At 40.1% G+C, this 21,588-nt stretch overlaps 1 long non-coding RNA gene across 1 annotated transcript in view; it reads left to right on the top strand.

Moving 5' to 3' along the window:
• LOC105370519 (uncharacterized) overlaps positions 1 to 21,588 on the top strand; it is an 87,246-nt gene that overhangs the window by 50,057 nt on the left and 15,601 nt on the right. Inside the window, exon 2 of the long non-coding RNA XR_007064194.1 lies at positions 9,377 to 9,481. This is a non-coding gene — a long non-coding RNA (uncharacterized LOC105370519). The remainder of the gene's footprint in view (positions 1 to 9,376; positions 9,482 to 21,588) is intronic.

Genomic DNA, 21,588 nt, shown 5'->3' on the forward strand with positions numbered 1-21,588 from the left:
GATTACATTTATTGGTTTGAATATTTTGAACCAGCCTTGCATCCCAGGGATGAAGCCCACTTGATCATGGTGGATAAGCTTTTTGATGTGCTGCTGAATTAGATTTGTCAGTATTTTATTGAGGATTTTCACATCAATGTTCATCAGGGATATTGGCCTGAAATTTCCTTTTTTATTGTGTTTCTGCCAGGTTTTGGTATCAGGATGATGTTGACCTCATAAAATGAGTTACGGAGGAGTCTCTCTTTTTCTATTGTTTGGAATAGTTTCAAAAGGAATGATACCAGCTCCTCTTTGTTCCTCTGGTAGAATTCGGCTGTAAATCCTTCTGGTCCTGGACTTTTTTTGGTTGGTAGACTATTAATTACTGCCTCAATTTCAGAACTTGTTATTGGTCTATTCAGGAATTCAACTTCTTCCTGGTTTAGTTTTGGGAGGGTGTATATGTCCAGGAATTTATGCATGTCTTCTAGATTTTCCAGTTGATTTGCATAGAGGTGTTTATAGTATTCTCTGTGGGATCAGTGATGATATCCCCTTTATCATTTTTTACTGTGCCTATTTGATTCTTTTCTCTCTTTTTCTTTATTAGTCTGGCTAGTGGTTTATTTTGTTAATCTTTTCAAAAAACCAGCTCCTGGATTCATTGATTTTTTTTGAAGGGTTTGTCATGTCTGTATCTCCTTCAGTTCTGTTCTGATCCTAGTTATTTCTTCTCTTCTGCTAGCTTTTGAATTTGTTTGCTCTTGCTTCTCTGGTTCTTTTAATTGTGATGTTAAGGTGTTGATTTTAGATCTTTCCTGCTTTCTCTTGTGGGCATTTATTGCTATAAATTTCCCTCTAAACACTGCTTTGGCTGTGTCCCAGATATTCTGGTATGTTGTGTCTTTGTTCTCATTGGTTCAAAGAACATCTTTATTTCTGCCTTAATTTTGTTATTTACCCAGTAGTCATTCAGGAGCAGGTTGTTCAGTTTCCATGTAGTTGTGTGGTTTTGAGTGAGTCTTTTTTTTCTTTTCTTTTTTTTTTTTTTGAGACAGAGTCTCGCTCTGTTGCCCAGGCTGGAGTGCAGTGGCACGATCTCGGCTTGCTGCAAGGTCCGCCTCCCGGGTTCTCACCATTCTCCTGCCTCAGCCTCCCGGGTAGCTGGGACTACAGGCACCTGCCACTGCATCAGGCTAATTTTTTTTTTTTTGTATTTTTAGTAGAGACAGAGTTTCACTGTGTTAGCCAGGATGGTCTTGATCTCCTGACCTCATGATCCTCCCGCCTCAGCCTCCCAAAGTGCTGCGATTACAGGTGTGAGCCACCGCCTGAGTGAGTTTCTTAATCCTAGTTCTAATTTGATTGCACTGTGGTCTGAGAGACTGTTTGTTATGATTTCCGTTCTTTTGGATTTGCTGAGGGGTGTTTTACTTCCAGTTATGTGGTCAATTTTAGAATAAGTGCGATGTGGTACTGAGAAGAATATATTTTCTGTTGATTTGGGGTGGAGAGTTCTGTAGATGTGTATTAGGTCCACTTGGTCCAGAACTGAGTTCAAGTCTTGAATATCCTTGTTAATTTTGTCTCTCGTTGCTCTGTCTAATATTGACAGTGTGGTGTTAACTTTTCGCACTGTTATTGTGTGGGAGTCGAAGTCTCTTTGTAGGTCTCTAAGAACTTGCTTTATGAATTTGGCTGTTCCTGTATTGGGTGCATATATATTTAGGATAGTTAGCTCTTCTTGTTGAATTGATCCCTTTACCATTATGTAATGGCCTTCTTTGTCTCTTTTGATCTTTGTTGCTTTAAAGTCTGTTTTATCAGAGACTAGGATTGCAAACCCTGCTTTTTTTTCTTTACATTTGCTTGGTAAATATTCTTCCATCCTTTTATTTTGAGCCTATGTGTTTCTTTGCACGTGAGATAGGTCTCCTGAATACAGCACACTGATGGGTCTTGACTCTTTATCCAATTTGCCAGCCTGTGTCTTTTAATTGGGGCATTTAGCCCATTTACATTTAAGGTTAATATTGTTATGTGTGAATATGATACTGTCATTGTGATGCCAGCTGGTTATTTTGCCCGTTAGTTAATGCAGTTTCTTCATAGTGTCGATGGTCTTTACAATTTGGTATGTTTTTGCAGTGCTGGTACTATTTTTTTCCTTTCCACGTTTAGTGCTTCCTTCAGGAGCTCTTGTAAGGCAGGCCTGGTGGTGACAAAATCTCTCAGCATTTCCTTGTCTATAAAGGATTTTATGTCTCTTTTGCTTATGAAGCTAGTTTGGCTGGATATGAAATTCTGGGTTGAAAATTCTTTTCTTTAGGAATGTTGAATATTGGCTCCTGCCTCTTTTGGCTTCTGGGGTTTCTGCAGAGGGATCGGCTGTTGGTCTGATGGGCTTCATTTTGTGGGTAACCTGACCTTTCTCTCTGGCTGTTCTTAACATTTTTTCCTTCATTTCAACCTTGGTGAATCTGATGATTATGTGTCTTGGGGTTGCTCTTCTCAAGTAGTGTCTTTGTGGTGTTCTCTGTATTTCCTGAATTTGAATGTTGGCTTGCCTTGCTAGGTTGGGGAAGTTCTCCTGAATAATATCCTGAAGAGTGTTTTCCAACTTGGTTCCATTCTCCCTGTCACTTTCAGATACACCAATCAAACATAGATTTGATGTTTTCACATAGTCCCATATTTCTTGGCAGCTTTGTTCATTCCTTTTCATTCTTTTTTCTCTAATCTTGTCTTCTTTCATTAAGTTGATCTTCAATCTCTGATATCCTTTCTTCTGCTTGATTGATTCAGCTATTGATACTTTTGTATGCTTCATGAAGTTCTTGTGCTGTGTTTTTAAGCTCCATTGGGTCATTTATATTCTTCTCTAAACTGGTTATTCTCATTATCAATTCCTCTAACCTCTTTTCAAGGTTCTTAGCTTCCTTGCACTGGGTTAGAACATGCTCCTTTAGCTTGGACGTGTTTCTTATTACCCACCTTCTGAAGCCTACTTCTGTCAATTCATCAAACTCATCCATCCAGTTTTGTTCCCTTGCTGGCAAGGAGTGCTGATCCTTTGGAGGAGAAGAGGTGTTCTGGTTTTTGGAATTTTCAGCCTTTTCCCACTGGTTTCTCTCCACCTTCATAGGTTTATCTACCTTTCGTCTTTGATGTTGGTGATCTTTGAATGGGGTCTCTGAATGGACGTGCTGTTCCTTTCTGTTTGTTAGTTTTCCTTCTAACAGTCAGGCCCCTCTGCTGCAGGTCTGCTGGAGTTTGCTAGAGGTCCATTCCAGACCTTGTTTGCCTGGGCATCACCAGCAGAGGCTGCAGAACAGCAAAGATTGCTGCCCGTTCTTTCCTCTGGAAGCTTTGTCCCAGACGGGCACCCAATAGATGCCAGCCAGAGCTCTCCTGTATGAGGTGTCTGTCAGCCCCTACTGGGAGATGTCTCCTAGTCAGGATACATGGGGATCAGGGACCCACTTAAGGAGGCAGTCTGACCCTTAGCAGTGCTCTAGTGCTGTGCTCAGAGATCCGCTGCTCTCTTCAGAGCCTTCAGTCAGGGATGTTTTAAGTCGGCTGGAGCTGAGCCCACAGCTGCCCCTTCCTCAAGGTGCTCTGTCTCAGGGAGATGGGGGTTTTACCTGTAAGCACCTGACTGAGGCCGCTGCCTTTTTTTTCCATAGATCCCCTGGCCAGAGAGGAGGAATCTAGAGAGGCAATCTGGCCTCAGTAGCCTTGCTGAGCTGCATTGGCCTCTGCCCAGTTCAAACTTCCCGGCAGCTTTGTTTACTTCCTACTTAAGCCTCAGCAATGGTGGACGCCCCTCCCCGCACCAAGCTTGAGCATCCCAGGTTCACTTCAGATTGCTGCTGTGCTGGCAGCAAGAATTTCAAGCCAGTGGATTTTAGCTTGCTGGGCTCCATGGGGGTGGGACCCGCTGAGCCAGACCACCTGGCTCCCTGGCTTCAGCCCCCTTTCCAGGGGAGTGAATGGTTCTGTCTCACTGGCATTCCAGGCACCACTGGGGTATGGGGGAGAAAAAAAAACAAACTCCTGCAGCTAACTTGGTGTCTGCCCAAATGGCCACCCAGTTTTGTACCTGAAACCTGGGGCCCTGGTGATGTAGAGGGAATATCCTGGTCTGCAGGTTGCAAAGACCATGGGAAAAGTGCAGTATCTGGGCTGGAGTGCACTGTTCCTTAGGTACAGTCCCTCATGGCTTCCACTGGGTAAGGGAGAGAATTCCCCCACCCCTTGAGCTTCCTGGGTGAGGTGATGCCCCACCCTGCTTCAGCTCACCCTTCATGGGCTGTACCCACTGTCCAAGCAGTCCCAATGAGATGAGCCAAGTACCTCAGTTGGAAATGCAGAAATCACCCACCTTCTGCATTGATCTCACTGGGAGCTGCAGACTGGAGCTGTTCCTATTCAGCCATCTTGCCAGCCCCTTCTGGTTCATTTTTATTTTACAATTAAACCTTGGAACCAATGAGAGTTTTGGGACAGAGAAAGCCAGAATGGCCTATGAGTTTACAGACTAGGTTAGCAATTAAAAATACAGTTCATTTGACAAGAACAACTGTCAAATTGATGAAAAGATGACAAGATATACCAAGAGACTTACAAACCAGGAGAAAATTGTTTCTAATTATTCCTGGAGTAGGGAAACAGGCATTTACTGAATATTCTACTATGAATATGAACAGGTACATCGTACCTAGGATCCAACTGATACTCAGTAAAACTCTGCTGAGTGAGTGAATGCATGAATCAATGAATGACCTATGTTGACTCATTCTTATTTTCTATCTATACAGGACTGAATTCATTCTCTTTTTTTCCTCTCTTCTGGTTTGAAAGTTGTACATACATTTTATATTCATTTAGTGATTGCCCTTACCTTTGATTTACCTTACATACAGGAAAACATGTCTCCTTAAATTTGATTCCCACTATCCCATTATTCCTTACCCCTACCCCTAAAGAGGATGCTACTGTAACAGTCTTATTTTTCCCTAAGATAGGTAGATTTTTCTATGATGCAAGTGAAGCTGAAGTTTAGGGCCTCTTACTTGCATGCTCCAACGTTTTAGTACTTATTTACCAAGTATGAAGTTAATTATTATTGCCGTCCACCTTTCATGAGGAGGTACAATATACATGTAAAGAACTATGATTTTTTTTCTATTTATATAGGTAGAAATCTGGAAAATATATGTGGGAATGGATATTGAGAGTATGTGATTAAGGTAGAAGAAATATGAAATTGAAAATCATTGAAAGCAGAGCTGAGGTTTCTGAAAGAGAGGGAGGGTGGGAGAAAGAGAAAGTGAGAGGAAAGGGAGGAAGGGAAGAGGGGGGACCAGAAGGGAGGAGGGGAGGAGAGAATGCCACTTGTGGGCAACCACTTTGCCCATGCCCATGGGTTCCAGCCTACCCTGATCTTCCCTTTCTTTCCTATGGATTTCAACCTTGCTTAGCCAGGCCCCACATTGTGTAAGCCCATTCCTTATTTCTTTAAAATGAAGCTCTTAATATGTTGTTTCCTATTGGTTCTGCTTCTTGCGTTGAACCCTACTATTCAACCTGTCCCGATTTCAAAGCACAGTTTTTCATACTGTTTCACACTGTTTTGCTTATGGTTCTCTTCTATTCCTTGATTTTTCTCTTTGAACATGTTGAAAGTCTTTATTTGGGAGTTTCTCAAAAACTATTCCCTTATTGAGATTTTTTTAAATTGCAAATTCTCTCATTTGCTGAATCAATACCTCCTTTTTGGTGTAGTGTGTAACTTTTGAGTATGACCTCAGCAGCAGTTATTCTCAGCTGGGCCACAGAGGCATCCTTTTATTGAATTGTCTCTACAGAAAAGTTTAACCAGGGGACCAATGAGTTGTCACTAGCACAGGACCACTTTTTATTGGCCTTGAATGCTCGCATTTTGCAGGGAGTGTGAATTCAGATTCCTCACTCATGTGAGACACGAACTTGTTTTCCAGTATTTATGGTGACTCTCATTTCATTCACCGAGTCCCAGGCAAATGGAAAGATTCCTTCCTTTTTCTTTGGACCAGTAGACAGAGTATTTCTATTTGGCATTTCTGAATGGAGTGCCCACTTAGTGACTCCCAGTTTTATTCAGGTAGCTTCGTTCTAGGTCCAAGCATACATTGAAACTGGGGCTGGAATCCCCTTCTCAGAGTTTTAAGATCTCAGCCCAATATGTTATGAGCTAATCTGATACTTGGTGAGCTGTTTGGATCCAGCTTTTTTTCACACCTTTAACTTTTAGTTCATTATTTCTGGCACCTGAAGATTTCTCTTTCTTGGTTTCAAGCTTATTGCAATGTAGTGTTGGAAGGATAGGGAGAGTTCCCACCTCAATTTAATCTACCATATCGGCTAGAAATGGCCCTAAGTGTAGTTTAAGGAAAATTACAATGCAAACTTTAAAAAAAAAAAGAAAAAGAAAAAAGACTTCTGCTGGCTCAGAATTACATATATGACTCTAACACATCCTTAATACAATTCATGTTCTTTTATGTCTAGAGTCTGCAAATAGATAATATCTCATTTATCTTTTTTTTCTCTTTTTTGAGAAGGGGTCACTCAGGCTGGAGTGCAGTGATAAGATCACAGTTTATTGCAGCCTCAACCTCCTGAACTCAAGCAATCCTTCTGCCTCAGTCTCCCAAATAGCTGGGGGATCAGAGGCACATGCCACCATGGCCAGCTAATTTCTAAAATTTTCTTTATTTTGAAAGATCATTTTAAAGGTTTCCTTGGGGAAACTCTCCTTATTCTCACGGAGAGTCTGCCTCCTTCTCCTCACACAGCATTCTTTTCATCCAGAATCTATTCATTACCCTCAGACAATAAAAAACATGTAGTTTATTTTATGTAGTGAGTATAATCTTTCTCTTGCTTCTCGTGCCCATTCTCTATGAAACTATGAATGAGAGGGGTCAGTGTTCTGGGCATTTGAAGAACTTTTGATCAATTTTATCCTTACTAGGGAGGTCAATTTTGATTCACTTTCACCCTTTGAGTACCTTGTAGTCTAATTTTGTTTCTTTTTCTCTTTGCTTATAAAGGCAATGGCAGGGGAGGGGATGTTGAGAAAACTAGAGGTTGTGACAGGAACTGCTTCTATTTCTCTCCCCCTATCTATTCAACCCCAAATAGAACCCCTCCCTCTGTACTTCCCTGAAAATGAATCCTCCCTTGCTGAATGCAGCTTATCAAGATATAAGTGAATCAGTAGCCTTGAGTCTTGGAAATTTTTTGTCTCTTCTGTTTGTTCCCAAAGACCATCACTTACAAAGCCCATAGTGACAGGTGAACCCTTAGACTGCAGCACAATGGTAGGAAGGAGATACTCTTGGTAAAATGAATTGTATAGGGTGTGCTGGCTGAGGTTCAACCATCATAGCTAAAAAGGGCTAGTTGTCTTTCAGACACTTCATCTGAGGGCTTGTCACCTCTCCTTTACTATAGTAAAGACATGAATTGACCTCTCCCCTTTGTATCAACTGATGGGTCCCAGAGAAAGACACCAGATGACTTATAACTCATATGAAGGTAAGACACAGGAGTGGCAGAACCTGGAAGAGGAGGAAAAGGGGTTAAAAGGGCCAAGGACCTGGGGGTCGTTGGGGAGGTAGACGGTATAAGGGGGAGGGAAGAAGGAGAATCTTTTGATGGGAGGTTAGCTGAAAGGGTCGCCTCAGAGACTAGGACCAAGATCCTGTACCAAGCAGAGAGCTTGGAAACATACTGAACAGACAAGAGATGTCATCCTGTGGCCTTGACATAGTTAGGAAGTTTTTATTGGATTAGAAGTAAAGACATCCTGAACGTTCTCTAGGAGTGTGTGTATGCTTAACTGGCTGACAGTAAGACTATTTTGTTTTAGGTTTAATTACCTCTCCTTTTACACTAAAGAACATAGTAGCAGAATTATAGTTGAAATGTCATATATCAGAGTAAAAACAGCCATAGAGCTGGAAGGTTCTAAGTCAATCACACTGCTTCTACTATCAAGTCCACTTGATTTTCTCTAGCCTTACCATCAACCACAACAGGACAGGTTTCATGGATATGAGCAACTAGAATGGAGCCATTCTTATGATTTATTAACTTGCTGTACCTCCTAGCAGTGTCATGAATAATTTGTGCTGCACTTAACACACAAGAGAAAAAAAATGCAACAGCTCATTTTCAATCAGCCAAACCCAAGAATGACCTTTTTGGCCAGTCAGCTATTATTTGATCAATTGACCCTCGGTTAAACATGCATATGGGTTAAAAGATAGTTGATGGTGAAGTCAAACTGGAATGTTTCATGAATCAAGGCATCCACGCTGATGAAAAACATCTGCTTCACAAATTGCAAAACTTTCATAAATTGCTACTGTGCCAATGGGCACTTTAAAAATGGTGCTCTGGATTCTAGACAAATTCTCAACTTTTCTGTATTTTAGTTTTGTAAGTGGGGTGCTTTGGTAGGAAAAATGGTGCTTCGTTTACATTATTGGGCATGAAATTTCCTTGGTTTATCTGTAAAGCAAACTCTTGTTCTACTTTCTCATCCAGTTAAGAACAAAGGCAGTAAAAGAACAATGATCAGAGGGAAAATAACCAAGGATATCTGCTTATCAATTTGCCACTTTTAAAAAACACTGGTCCTTAAACTCGGTAACGACATGATTCACTAATTTTGGAAGAGAGAACAGATAGAACTACTTATCTGTATCTTTTGTGAAAGTAATACCCTTGCCCAGGATGAGCTGGAAAGTTAACTCTAAGGAAAAGAGAAGTTGATCAGGAGTCAGCCTGGGTTTAGCCCAAAGACTGACCACAAGTTAATGCACAATCTTGGGCAGGCCACTTAACTCCTCTGGGTTTACACTTTCTCACATGTAAGGTGAGGGGGCTGGCTCAGATAAGGTCTAAGATCCTTTCCCACTCTGACATTTTTTAGTACCTTATCAATGATGCCCCTGATCTTTCTCAACACTGAGTAGACTCTGTGTGTGTGTGTGTGTGTGTGTGTGTGTGTGTGTCCGCTTCATGACAAGATGGCATAACCTCACTGTGACAGGCAGTTTTTAAGATAGTCCCTGGTGATATCTGCCTCCTGATGTCCGTATTCTTGTATCATACACCCTGCCTTGAGTGTGGGCTGCACTTACTGAGTCATTACTAAAAAAACAGAATGCAGTGAAAATAATGGGATATACTTTTTGAGATTAGGTTACCAAAAGACTGTGGCTTCTGTCTTTCTTACCTTTCTTGTTCACTGGCTCTGAGAAAAGCCAACTAGCATGTTGTTAGCTTCCCTAGCAGAGACTCATATATGTGACAAGGAACCAATGTTTCTCTCCAACAGACAGTAAGAACATGAGGCCAACCGGGAACCATGTGAGAGAGCTTAAGGCAGATTCTCTGAAGCCACACCAGGATTCCTGACCACAAAGTCTCTGACATGAGAAATGTATGTGTTTGTTTGTTTTTTTGTTTGTTTTATTGTACTATAAGTTCTGGGGTACATGTGCAGGACGTGCAGATCTGTTACATAGTATACATGGACCATGGTGGTTTGCCCCACCCATCAACTAGTCATCTACATTAGGTATTTTTCCTAATGCTCTGCCTCCCCTAGCACCCCACTCCCCAACAGGCTCTGGTATGTGATGTTCCCCTCCCTGTGTCCATGTGTTCTTCTTGTTCAACTCCCACATGAGTGAGAACATATGGTGTTTTGTTTTCTGTTCCTGTGTTAATTTGCTGAGAATGATGATTTCCAGCTTCATCCATGTCCCTGCAGAGGACATGAACTCATCCTTTTTTATGGTTGCATAGAATTCTATAGTGTATATGTGCCACATTTTCTTTATCCAGTCTATCATTGATGGATATTTGGGTTGGTCCCAAGTCTTTGCTATTGTGAACAGTGCTGCAATAAACATGCGTGTGCATGTGTCTTTATAGTAGAATGATTTATAATCCTTTGGGTATATACCCAGTAATGGGTTTGCTGGGTCAAGTGGTATTTCTAGTTCTAGATCCCTGAGGAATCGCCACACTGTCTTCCACAGTGGATGAACTAATTTACACTGTCACCAACAGTGTAAAAGCATTCCTATTTCTCCACATCCTCTCCAGCACCTGTTGTTTCCTGACTTTTTAATGATCCCCATTCTAACTGGCATGAGATGGTATCTTATTGTGGTTTTGATTTGCGTTTCTCTAATGACCAGTGATGATCTTTTTTTCATATGTTTGTTGGCTGCATAATTGTCTTTGTTTGAGAAGTGTCTGGTCATATCTTTTCTCAGTTTTTGATGGAGTTTTTTTTTCTTGTAAATTTGTTTAAGGTTGTTGTAGATTCTGGATATTAGCGCTTTGTCAGATGGATAGATTACAAAAATTTTCTCCCATTCTGTAGGCTGCCTGTTCACTCTGATGATAGTTTCTTTTGCTGTGCAGAAGGTCTTTAGTTTAATTAGATCCCATTTGTCAATTTGGGCTTTTGTTGCCATTGCTTTTGGTGTTTTAGTCATGACGTCTTCACCTATGCCTATGTCCTGAATGGTATTGCCTAGGATTTCTTTTTTTTTTTTTATAGTATTTTATTTTATTTTATTTTTATTTTTTAATTTTTTTTATTTTTTTTTTATTATACTTTAAGTTTTAGGGTACATGTGCACATTGTGCAGTTTAGTTACATATGTATACACGTGCCATGCTGGTGCGCTGCACCCACTAACGTGTCATCTAGCATTAGGTATATCTCCCGATGCTATCCCTCCCCCCTCCCCCCACCCCACCACAGTCCCCAGAGTGTGATATTCCCCTTCCTGTGTCCATGTGATCTCATTGTTCAATTCCCACCTATGAGTGAGAATATGCGGTGTTTGGTTTTTTGTTCTTGTGATAGTTTACTGAGAATGATGATTTCCAATTTCATCCATGTCCCTACAAAGGACATGAACTCATCATTTTTCATGGCTGCATAGTATTCCATGGTGTCTATGTGCCACATTTTCTTAATCCAGTCTATCATTGTTGGACATTTGGGTTGGTTCCAAGTCTTTGCTATTGTGAATAGTGCCGCAATAAACATACGTGTGCATGTGTCTTTATAGCAGCATGATTTATAGTCCTTTGGGTATATACCCAGTAATGGGATGGCTGGGTCAAATGGTATTTCCAGTTCTAGATCCCTGAGGAATCGCCACACTGACTTCCACAATGGTTGAACTAGTTTACAGTCCCACCAACAGTGTAAAAGTGTTCCTATTTCTCCACATCCTCTCCAGCACCTGTTGTTTCCTGACTTTTTAATGATTGCCATTCTAACTGGTGTGAGATGGTATCTCATTGTGGTTTTGATTTGCATTTCTCTGATGGCCAGTGATGATGAGCATTTTTTCATGTGTTTTTTGGCTGCATAAATGTCTTCTTTTGAGAAGTGTCTGTTCATGTCCTTTGCCCACTTTTTGATGGGGTTGTTTGTTTTTTTCTTGTAAATTTGTTTGTGTTCATTGTAGATTCTGGATATTAGCCCTTTGTCAGATGAGTAGGTTGCGAAAATTTTCTCCCATGTTGTAGGTTGCCTGTTCACTCTGATGGTAGTTTCTTTTGCTGTGCAGAAGCTCTTTAGTTTAATTAGATCCCATTTGTCAATTTTGGCTTTTGTTGCCATTGCTTTTGGTGTTTGAGACATGAAGTCCTTGCCCGTGCCTATGTCCTGAATGGTAATGCCTAGGTTTTCTTCTAGGGTTTTTATGGTTTTAGGTCTAACATTTAAGTCTTTAATCCATCTTGAATTGATTTTTGTATAAGGTGTAAGGTAGGGATCCAGTTTCAGCTTTCTACATATGGCTAACCAGTTTTCCCAGCACCATTTATTAAATAGGGAATCCTTTCCCCACTGCTTGTTTTTTTCAGGTTTGTCAAAGATCAGATAGTTGTAGATATGCGGCGTTATTTCTGAGGGCTCTGTTCTGTTCCATTGATCTATATCTCTGTTTTGGTACCAGTACCATGCTGTTTTGGTTACTGTAGCCTTGTAGTATAGTTTTAAGTCAGGTAGCATGATGCCTCCAGCTTTGTTCTTTTGCCTTAGGATTGACTTGGCAATGCGGGCTCTTTTTTGGTTCCATATGAACTTTAAAGTAGTTTTTTCTAATTCTGTGAAGATGGAGTTTTGTTCTTGTTGCCCAGGCTAGAGTGCAGTGGCATGATCTTGGCTCACTGCAACCTCTGCCTCCTGGATTCAAGTGACTCTCCTGTCTTGGCCTCCCAAGTACCTGGGACTACAAGTTCATGCCACCACAGCTGGCTAATTTTTGTATTTTTATTAGAGACAGGGTTTCACCATGTTGGCCAGGCTGGTCTTGAACTCCTGACCTCAGGTGATCTGCCTGCCTTGGCCTCCCAAAGTGCTGGGATTACAGGTGTGAGCCACTGTGCCCAACTGGGGTAGTCTTATTTGGGTCAAATCTGTTTGGTTTTCTTTCTGATCTTCCTATACCTAGATATTTATATCTCTTCCAAATTTTGGAAAGTTTTGAATAGGCTTTCTACCCCTTGTTCTTTCTCTCTTTTGAACGTTAATACTTCTTATATCTGGTCTTTTAAGGTAATTTTCTATATCTTGTAGGTGTTCATTTATTTTTATTCTGTCTTCTCTTTTCTCCTCTGTGTGTTTTCAAATAGCCTGTCTTCAAGCTCACCAATTCTTTCCTCTGCTTGATCTATTCTTCTGTTGAAACCCTCGAATGAATTTTTCAGTTTAGTAAGTATATTCCTCAGTTCCAAGATTTCTGTTTGATTTTTAAAATTAATCTCTTTGTTAAATTTTTCTAATAAATTTCTGGATTGCTTTCCTGCATTATCTTGAAGATCACTGAGTTTTGTTAAATGTTCTATTTTAATTCTTGGTCAAAGAGCTCATATATCACCATCTTGTTAAGGTCAGTCACTGGTTCCTTGCTTTGTCCATTTGAGTAGGTCATGGTTCTCTGTTTGCTGTTGTATCTTGTGGATGCACATCTATGTCTTTGCATTGACAAATTAGTCATTTATTCTAGCCTTCTCTTTCTGGCTTGTTTTGGTTTTCATTGGACATGTTTGCCTAGAGATTCTTTGTAATTTATATATTAAATCTGTTAAATTTCTTTCTTTTCTTTCGTTTTTTTTTTTGTTTTGTTTTTCCAGACTGATGCCTCTTTTTTTGGTACTAGATGACATTTTAAGCCCAGGTTTGATTGGCTTTAGTAACTGGAACACTAACAATCTCAAACTGGGGAGGTCCCAAGGGGGATAACCCAGCAGTGTGGGAAGGCTGACTAGGGATTTGTGCCTCAGGGACCTGTGGCGTGAATCTCCTATAGCTTGGAGCTGCTGAACAGCCACTCTGATTTCGTATATCCTTTGGCTGATTACAGAGCAAAGTTTCCAGGGCTGGAAATGGTAGTCTCACTTCTCCTTTCTCTCTCGGGCTGTCCTCGGGGATATTTCTCCCTTCTGGAACTCATGGAACTTCCTGTAGGTTGAGGAAGGATTAGGTCTCCTGCCAGGAAATCCAAGATGGTGGAGGAGTTGGTCGTCAACTTCAGTCTCTCTTTTTTCCAGTGTAGAAACCATGAGTTGGAGGAAAATTTTCCATGTGCTCGGTACAAGGCAGATTGTAGTGTGAGGCATTGTGGATATGGAAGTCCAATTCTCTTACCGTCCGTTTTTTTGTTTGTTTGTTTGTTTTTGTTTTTTTTTCCACTTCTCTGTGGCCCCAGGAACTGTCTCATCCTCATATTTGAGTTCTGGGATATTGCTGGTGCTGATCTCAGTGCTTTTGGCTTTCTGTGGGTGGGGAAAGTAAAACCAGCTTGCTCCTTGGCTGCCATTTTGGAACCAGAAGTCTCTCATAAGATTTTGACTAATTAGGCCAGGTATGGTGGCTCACACTTGTAATCCCAGCACTTTAGGTGGCTGAGGCAGGCGGATCACTTGAGGTAAGGAGTTCAAGATCAGCCTGGTGATCATTGTGAAGTCCTGTCTCTACTGAAAATACAGAAATTAGCCGAGCGTGTTGGTGGCAGACTGTAATCCCAGCTACCTGGGATGCTGAGGCAGGAGAATCGCTTGAACCTGGGAGGTGGGGGTTGCAGTGAGCTGAGATCATGCCACTGCACTCCAGCCGAGGTGAAACAGTGAGACTCCATCTCAAAAAAAAAAAAAAAAAAAAAAAAAAAAAAAAAAAAAAAAAAAAAGATTTTAACTGCCAGTAGATACCAGAAATTGTATTAAGACTATTTGACAAAATAACTAAATGACTATGATATATTCTATAATTAGAACATAAGCTGTCATTTTAATAGATCAGGAATAGATTGTTTTCATTAAATAAATATTCTAGTTAACATTTGGCTCTCACTTGGAAGAGCAGGATTGCAAGTTTTCTAGGAATCATAGTCAATTCAAATACACCAATTCCAAAACCATATTGAACAGTAGTTTTCCTCGGTTCAGAAGAAATTTTAGAACATGTAGACTCACAGCCTCACCATTATAAATGTGGACTTTTATGTTGCTGGAGACATGAAGAGAGGGGATAAAAATGAAAAGGAGATACAGATATGTCAGAGAAGCCCTTGGAAAACTGAGAGTTAAGCAATAAAAATCAACACAATTAGTAAGATTAGGTAGTAAAAATGGTGTCTAGGCCAGGAGTAGAAAAAGCCTCAAAATTCAGCTTAAATATAATCAATCATGTTAACATTTCTAGGAGAAGGAATCTATCAATTAGAAGAGAGTGATCAACATGAAACAGAAAACACTGCAGTGTCTATTCAGCACTGCTCAGATCATATGTAGAGGTTATTGAAGAAAAGGGCGAACTTTCGGATGAAAGAGGATTTTTCTGGTGATAGTTGACAGTAGTAGAATTATTAAAAATAAAAATTTAAGTAAAGTTTAAAAATTACAAGTCACACAGTTACCTCATGCTCTCACTTATATGTAGGATCTAAAAAAGTTGAAATCATAGAAGCAGAGAATAGATTAATAGTAGTTTCCAGAGGCTGGAATAGGGGTGGGAGTGGGGATTAGGGAGATGGTCAAAGGATACAAAATTTCAGTCAGGTACAAGGAATAATTCTAAGAGATCTGCGGAAAAACGTGATGACTATAGTTAATAATAATGGGTTCTATTCTTGAAAATTTCTGAGAGGAGATTTTAAGTGTTCTTGCCACAATAAAGATAAGTATGTGAGGTAAAACACATGTTAATTACCTGGATTCAGCTATTCCACAGTGTATAAATATTTCAAAATAACATGTTGTATACTATATTCATAGATATAGTCAATTTAAGCAATATATGGGAGTTTAAAATGTTGTATACTATATTCATAGATATAGTCCCACTTAAGCAATAAATGGAAGTTTAAAAATTACATTATAATTGGATTTTATAGGAGGCTTTATGAAAGAAGATGAAAACTGGAAATATTTTGATATTAATATGGGTTAATGCAAATAAAAATATAACAAGGTGGAAATTTTAGCTATATGTGCCCAGATATATTACATAGCCAATAAGATAGAGAAGATGGAGAGTACCTTGTTTCTGCGTTCTTGGGGTTTTAGGAGTGGAAGAGCCAAGGACACTGAAGGAAATAATGCAGAGGTGTTAGTTTCAGTGCGTCACTTATCTAGGTAAATGTAACACCTAATTATATCCGAACAAGAATTATATTTAAGGGAAGTAATCAGGGTATCATGTATACTTGAACTGTTTTGGTCATAACCAGTGTCTGGAAATCAAGTGTTGGCAGCTCTATGATGTCTACTTGTTAATATCTTTTGCTCAGGGGAAGTTCAAACTAGGATTTGGTAGGATACATTCTTCTAGTGGACTTTGTAATTGGCTTGGCATGGTAGCAATTGTACCAGTCATTCCTGATTCTTCTCTTCACTACTTGCTATTGTCCAGCAGAATAAGTCCATCCCCACAAGTGAGTGGAAGTTGAAATGGAAATTAAAAGTAGAAGTGAAGAGTTTGAATCATACATCTGATTCTCATTGCTTTAATTTCAGGTTCACCAAGCAACCTTTTCATTAATGTTCAGCTTCCCAGGGAGATTTGGCTGTTAGGGAAAGATTGTACTAGTCTTACTAATGTGAGAGTTTTAGTACACATGACAGTTCAATTTATGATTATTGATGAATTCATTTTATATTTGTAGCATAGTGGTCATTAATCTAGTGACTTTCACATTTTAGCAGGCTTTCAGATCACCTGCATTATCTGAGTGTGTGCTTGGTTAATACCAAGCAAGTCTTGTTAAAACCAGATTGCTGGACTTTATCCCTAGAAATTCTACTTCACTAGGTCTGGGATGAAGCTGAAGAATTTGCATTTTTACCAAATTCCCAGATGCTGCTTATGCTGCTGATTAAGGAACCACAATTTGAGAATCACTGGGGTAGTTTTTAAAACATTGACAAGACTTAGTTTCTGGCCCCACAATGCAGGGGACCAGATCCAAAACATTGGTAACTTCTCCTGGGTAGATGCCATCTTATGAATATTCCTGATGGCTAGTTAACTAGCCTGTCCCTGGACACCGTTCTATCTTGGGGAATATCTTCTAACCATTGATGAGAGTTGAGTTATTTATATTATCAATAAGCCAGATCTATCCTGATCTTATTAATATCAGAAACTGTTTAATAAATTCCAGATTTCACCTTTATTACTTGCTGTTTTATGTCATAAGAGTAGGCAATCCTATTACTTTCTAAAAAATACAATCTAGCTTTTTTCTGCAAGTTAATTACAATGTCTAAAATTAAAAGTGGTCTTTTCCAAAATAATGCCTTTCTTTCCACTTGAATTCTCATCAGTCTTTTGACTTTCCAGCATTCAAAGCAGATGCTATCACTTCTGCATCAATAAGAGCTGGTATCAGATGAAAGTTCCTTGCCCGTTTCAACCCACTTATTTTTCCAGCTCTTCACAAAGTTTTCCAATTGGTTGCAATTTTAAAATGCTGTCCTTGTCTCTATTTCTTCCCTCTCCTTGCTGGCAGTTATTGCTTGCCTGACATAAGCAATACTCAGTATATTTTGTCTTGACTGACAGAATCTGACCGAATAATTGTCTCTTTCCAAAGCTGGTTTGTCCTCGCAAATTTCTTTCACTGTTCTCTATCCCTTTGCTGTGGTCTGAATGTCTGTGTTTTCGCAAAATTTATATGTTAAAATTTTAACCTCCAAGGTGATGGTATTAAGAGGTGGGCCTTCTGAGAGGTGATAAGGTCATGAGAGCCCACTCTCGTGAATGTGATTAGTGCTCTAAGAGACTTGAAGGAGCTTATTCACCCCTTCTGTCACATGAGGCCACATCCAGAAGTTGCCTTCTAAGAGCCAGGAAACAGGTCCTCAACAGACACCAAATCTGCCAGCTCCTTGATCTGAGATTTCCCAGCCTCCAGAACTGTAAGAAATAAATGTTTGCTTTTTGAAGCCACCCAGTCTAAGCTATTTTGTTATAGCAGCCTAAATGGACTAAGGACGTCCTCCAAGCAAGTGATTCTTAACCTGTTAGAGTGGTGCTGTCCAATAGAAATATAATTTGAGCCACAAATGCAAGCCACTTACATATTAATTAAACATTTTCTAGTAGTTACATTAAAAGCTAAAAAGAAACATGTTAAAATGATTTTATAATACATTTTATTTAACCCGATATATCCAAAACATTCTAATTTCAATATGTAATAAATATGGAGCTATTAATACCAAGCCTTCAAATTTTGGTGTGTTTGACACAACACATCTTAATTTGTACTAGCCACATTTCAATAGCCACATGTGGCTAATGGCTTACATGTAGGACAGTGTGGTTTTAGAGCCTCTGCATTCTCAGAATTTATTCCTCCAGAGTAAAGCGGTGAAGTTCACAGTATTTGATAAACTCTTTCAGGGGATTGTTGGGACAGCCCCTGAAGCCCATTCTTGGAGCTCTGGTAAAGATTTCTTGCTCTTAAGATCCCTCGAGCTCCAAAAGGATACGATGCTCCTGTCTCCAGCAAACAACAATAAAGTAGCCTTTGCATTTGTGGAACACATGTGGAGCATCCTGGCCAATGAGAGCATTGAAGTGTGATGCTTCTCCTCCTGCTTCTGGGGTCTCAGTGCTAGCACCCCAACACCATTACCCGCTACACTCTCCCTGTTCTTATTTCACCTACAATTGCTACAGATGTGGAGGAAAAAAGAAAAAAAAAAAGAATAAAAAGAATTAGAATGAATAGAGACTTCTTGTTCTAGGCTGCCAGATTAACCAGCATGGCCTGTGCTAGGTGTTACAAAGACAGGGGTTTATGGATAAGTAAGAAAGAGGATTTGTACTTAAATATCAGAAATATTCTAATGCTTGCCCGGTTATACTGTTCATGCTTTTATCTCTTACATTGTCCTTCTCCAAATCATTTGTCCTCTGGTGAATCTTGACAAAGCGCCTGCACAAAATTAACAGGCAAGCAAAGCCTGGATGAGCAAAATTGATTTGCCTATAATGTGTTTGTGAAGAGATCAGGACGTGGTTGGAGTGATTTTAATTTCAGAGCCCAAGTCGCTAGTCTGTCTTTTTGTCAGGCAATTAGTTCCACTGACTGGGCAAGAATGCCGTGATGCAAAGTGCCCAGAGGAACCAGGCAGATGGAAAAGGCATATCCTTTTTTTGTTCCTTGGAGCATTCCTCGTGCCAGGCTTCTTTTGTCTCTCTCATTTATTTTGGGTAAAATTCCCTGCTTGACACTAGGCTCTGTGACTTTGCTGGGGCACAGGGCTGTGAAATAAGTGACCAAAAGGACAGGCCTGAGGGCCAAATCTGTAGGTGAAAGTTCTAGATGAGGACCTCGAGGGAGGTGAGCAGTAGAGGAAATTCTGACAGCAGTTACTACTTTCGGCCTGTCCAGCTGTGCATTAAGATCTTTGCACATGGTATTTCATTTTATTTTTTTCAACCATCCCAAATGATACTAATATCCTTGTTTTGCTGCTAATGAGTGAGGGGCAGAGAGAGGTTACTCATTTGCCAAAGTTCCATCTCTAAGAAGTGCAGAGTCAAGGTCGAAGCATGGTGCTCTTCATCCCTGGACTGTGCTGGCCACTCAGGAACCTACAGAAGCCATCGTTTCCTGGACTTTGGGAAAGGAAAATGTGTGGATAAAGAGGCAGGATAACTGTAACCTTAACACGGTGCTCCCTCCCACTCGGGCAGGGTCTTTGTCTTCCTCCCTTGATTATTCTTCATACCTGACTGAGTGTGGCTCATCTAAGGCAGAGCATAGGCACATGGGAGGCACAACCGTATTTGACCAGTGACTGACATACATTATCCTGTCTGATTCTCATAATGACCGTGAGCAGTAACAAGGAAAGGTATTATTATCTTTATATGGAATTAAAGGGACTTTACCTGAATTAAAGGGACTATCTCACATTCCCAAAGCTGATTTAAGTAAATTTCTGAGTTGTTTTAATTGTCAGGGTGACAGCTTACCTATAAAGGGTGCAGCTTTTGGAAGCAGGGATCATTTTCTATACACTTTTGTATCCCTCTCCACAGCACAGAGAATATTTCTGTGAGCACAGAAAGTTCTATCAGACAGTGCTACTCTAGAGGCCAGCAAGGGCCAATTGGTAACAGTTTAACACACTACCCTACTTCAAAGCTAGAGGTTAGAAGTTAATAATTTTTGAATGAGTAAATGAATGAATAGCATAATGGAAGTGTCTTCTTAATATAGAGTGAGATAATTACGGTGATCGGTCATAGGCCGAATTAGTGCTTTCCAGGGTAGCTGACTCAATTTTTCAAAATGAATCATCAAAATGAGCAAAATAACTCATTTCTTAAAGATGTCAAAGTGCAATTTTAAATGTCATATTAAGTAGTGGCAAGATGCTGGAGTGTGGGTTAGTAGTGATTACTACTATTTAACAGCCATTTAAAAACAAGGCAAGCGTAATGTTTGCACCAATATGGCATTTAAATAGTCAAAACTAATAGTCACAACTACTCTACTTTGATAATGAATTAATTTGTAATTACTAATAACATTTTATTTACTTCATAGCATTTTTCATGAAGCTTAAACTGTATCATTGTTATTATTTTAGTTAATATCATGTTATCTATCTATGCCAGGAGACTGGCATTGCCTTTTAAAAAAATGACAGAGAAATCAAAGGCCTGACACATTAAGGTTTTCATTTACCTTGATGCCCAGCTAGTGATATTCTGTGATATTCTGAGTTGTCTTTTCTTACCTTGTTATTGTCTCATCAACACTTCTAGGGACACTCAAATAAAAACAAGTAGCAAAGCAGATGCCACAAAGGCTAGGCTTCTTGCACTAGATTTCCCACAGAGTGCAGAATATCTTGTTAGATGCTCTGCCCAGCCTCTTAGGGAAGAAGTTTATCAGTTCAGCATATTGGTGTTTTGTGAAAACATGAGAAAGGCTGTGACACATCTAACTCCTTTCAGTCCTTCCTTTAACCAGTCTCAGCTATAAGAATGCCTGTCCTTAACTAAGATTAAGCTAATACAGTTTGGGTAGGGGGGCCATATCTCCAGTGTAAAGCCACCCATTCATTCATTTACCATATAAGTGCTAGGCACTGGGAACACAGTGATGAATGCCACACAGCCCCTGCTCTCAAGCAGTTCATGGTCTACTGGTAACTCAGACCAGTAGATCCACAACCACCATGGAGGGCAATCAGCACTCAATGGGGGTAAGCAGAGACTGCCAAGGAAGCCACGTTGTACAGCGTGGGAGATAAGAAAAGACTTCCCAGAAAAATAGCAATGAATAATGTCATGAAGCCTAGATAAAAGTTTTCCAGGAGATGACAGGGGGAGAGAGAGAGAACAAGAAAGAGAATGTGGCTTGATTAAGCCTGTGGGGAGAAGTATAGTGTCATCGAAGCATAGAGATTTCAGGAGGCCACAAAGGGTAGTGTGGTAGAATGAGGCTCTAGAGCTGTGCTGTCCGATATAGTAGCCAATCGCCATATTTGGCTACTTATCTATTTTAGAGGTACGGTCTTGTCCTGTTGCCTGGATAACTTGGCTGGAATTCAGTGCTACAATCATAGCTCACTGCAGTCTCGAGCTTCTGGCCTCAGGTGATCCTCCTGCCATGGCTTCCCAAAGCGCTGGAATTACCGGTGTGAGCTACTGTGCCTGGCTGTACATTTGGCTATTTAAGAGAATGAAAATTAAATACAAATAGAAATGCAGTTCCTCAATTGTGTTAGCCACATTGAAACTGCTCAATAGCCACTTGTGGTTACTATATTGGATCACACAGATATGAAATATTTCCATAATCACAGAGAGTTCTACTGGACATTGCTGCTCTAGAGGCTGGCAGGGGCCAGTCAACGAGGAGCTTTGAATGACATGCCAAGATGTTTGGACCTTATCCTGAGGATAATAAGATGCCACTGAAGCATTTGATATAAGGGAATAGAATGATTAAATTTATGTGTTTAGAAAAGCCACTCTATAGG

This window comes from Homo sapiens, chromosome 14 (assembly GCF_000001405.40).
Source record: "Homo sapiens chromosome 14, GRCh38.p14 Primary Assembly".
Lineage (NCBI taxonomy): Eukaryota > Metazoa > Chordata > Mammalia > Primates > Hominidae > Homo > Homo sapiens.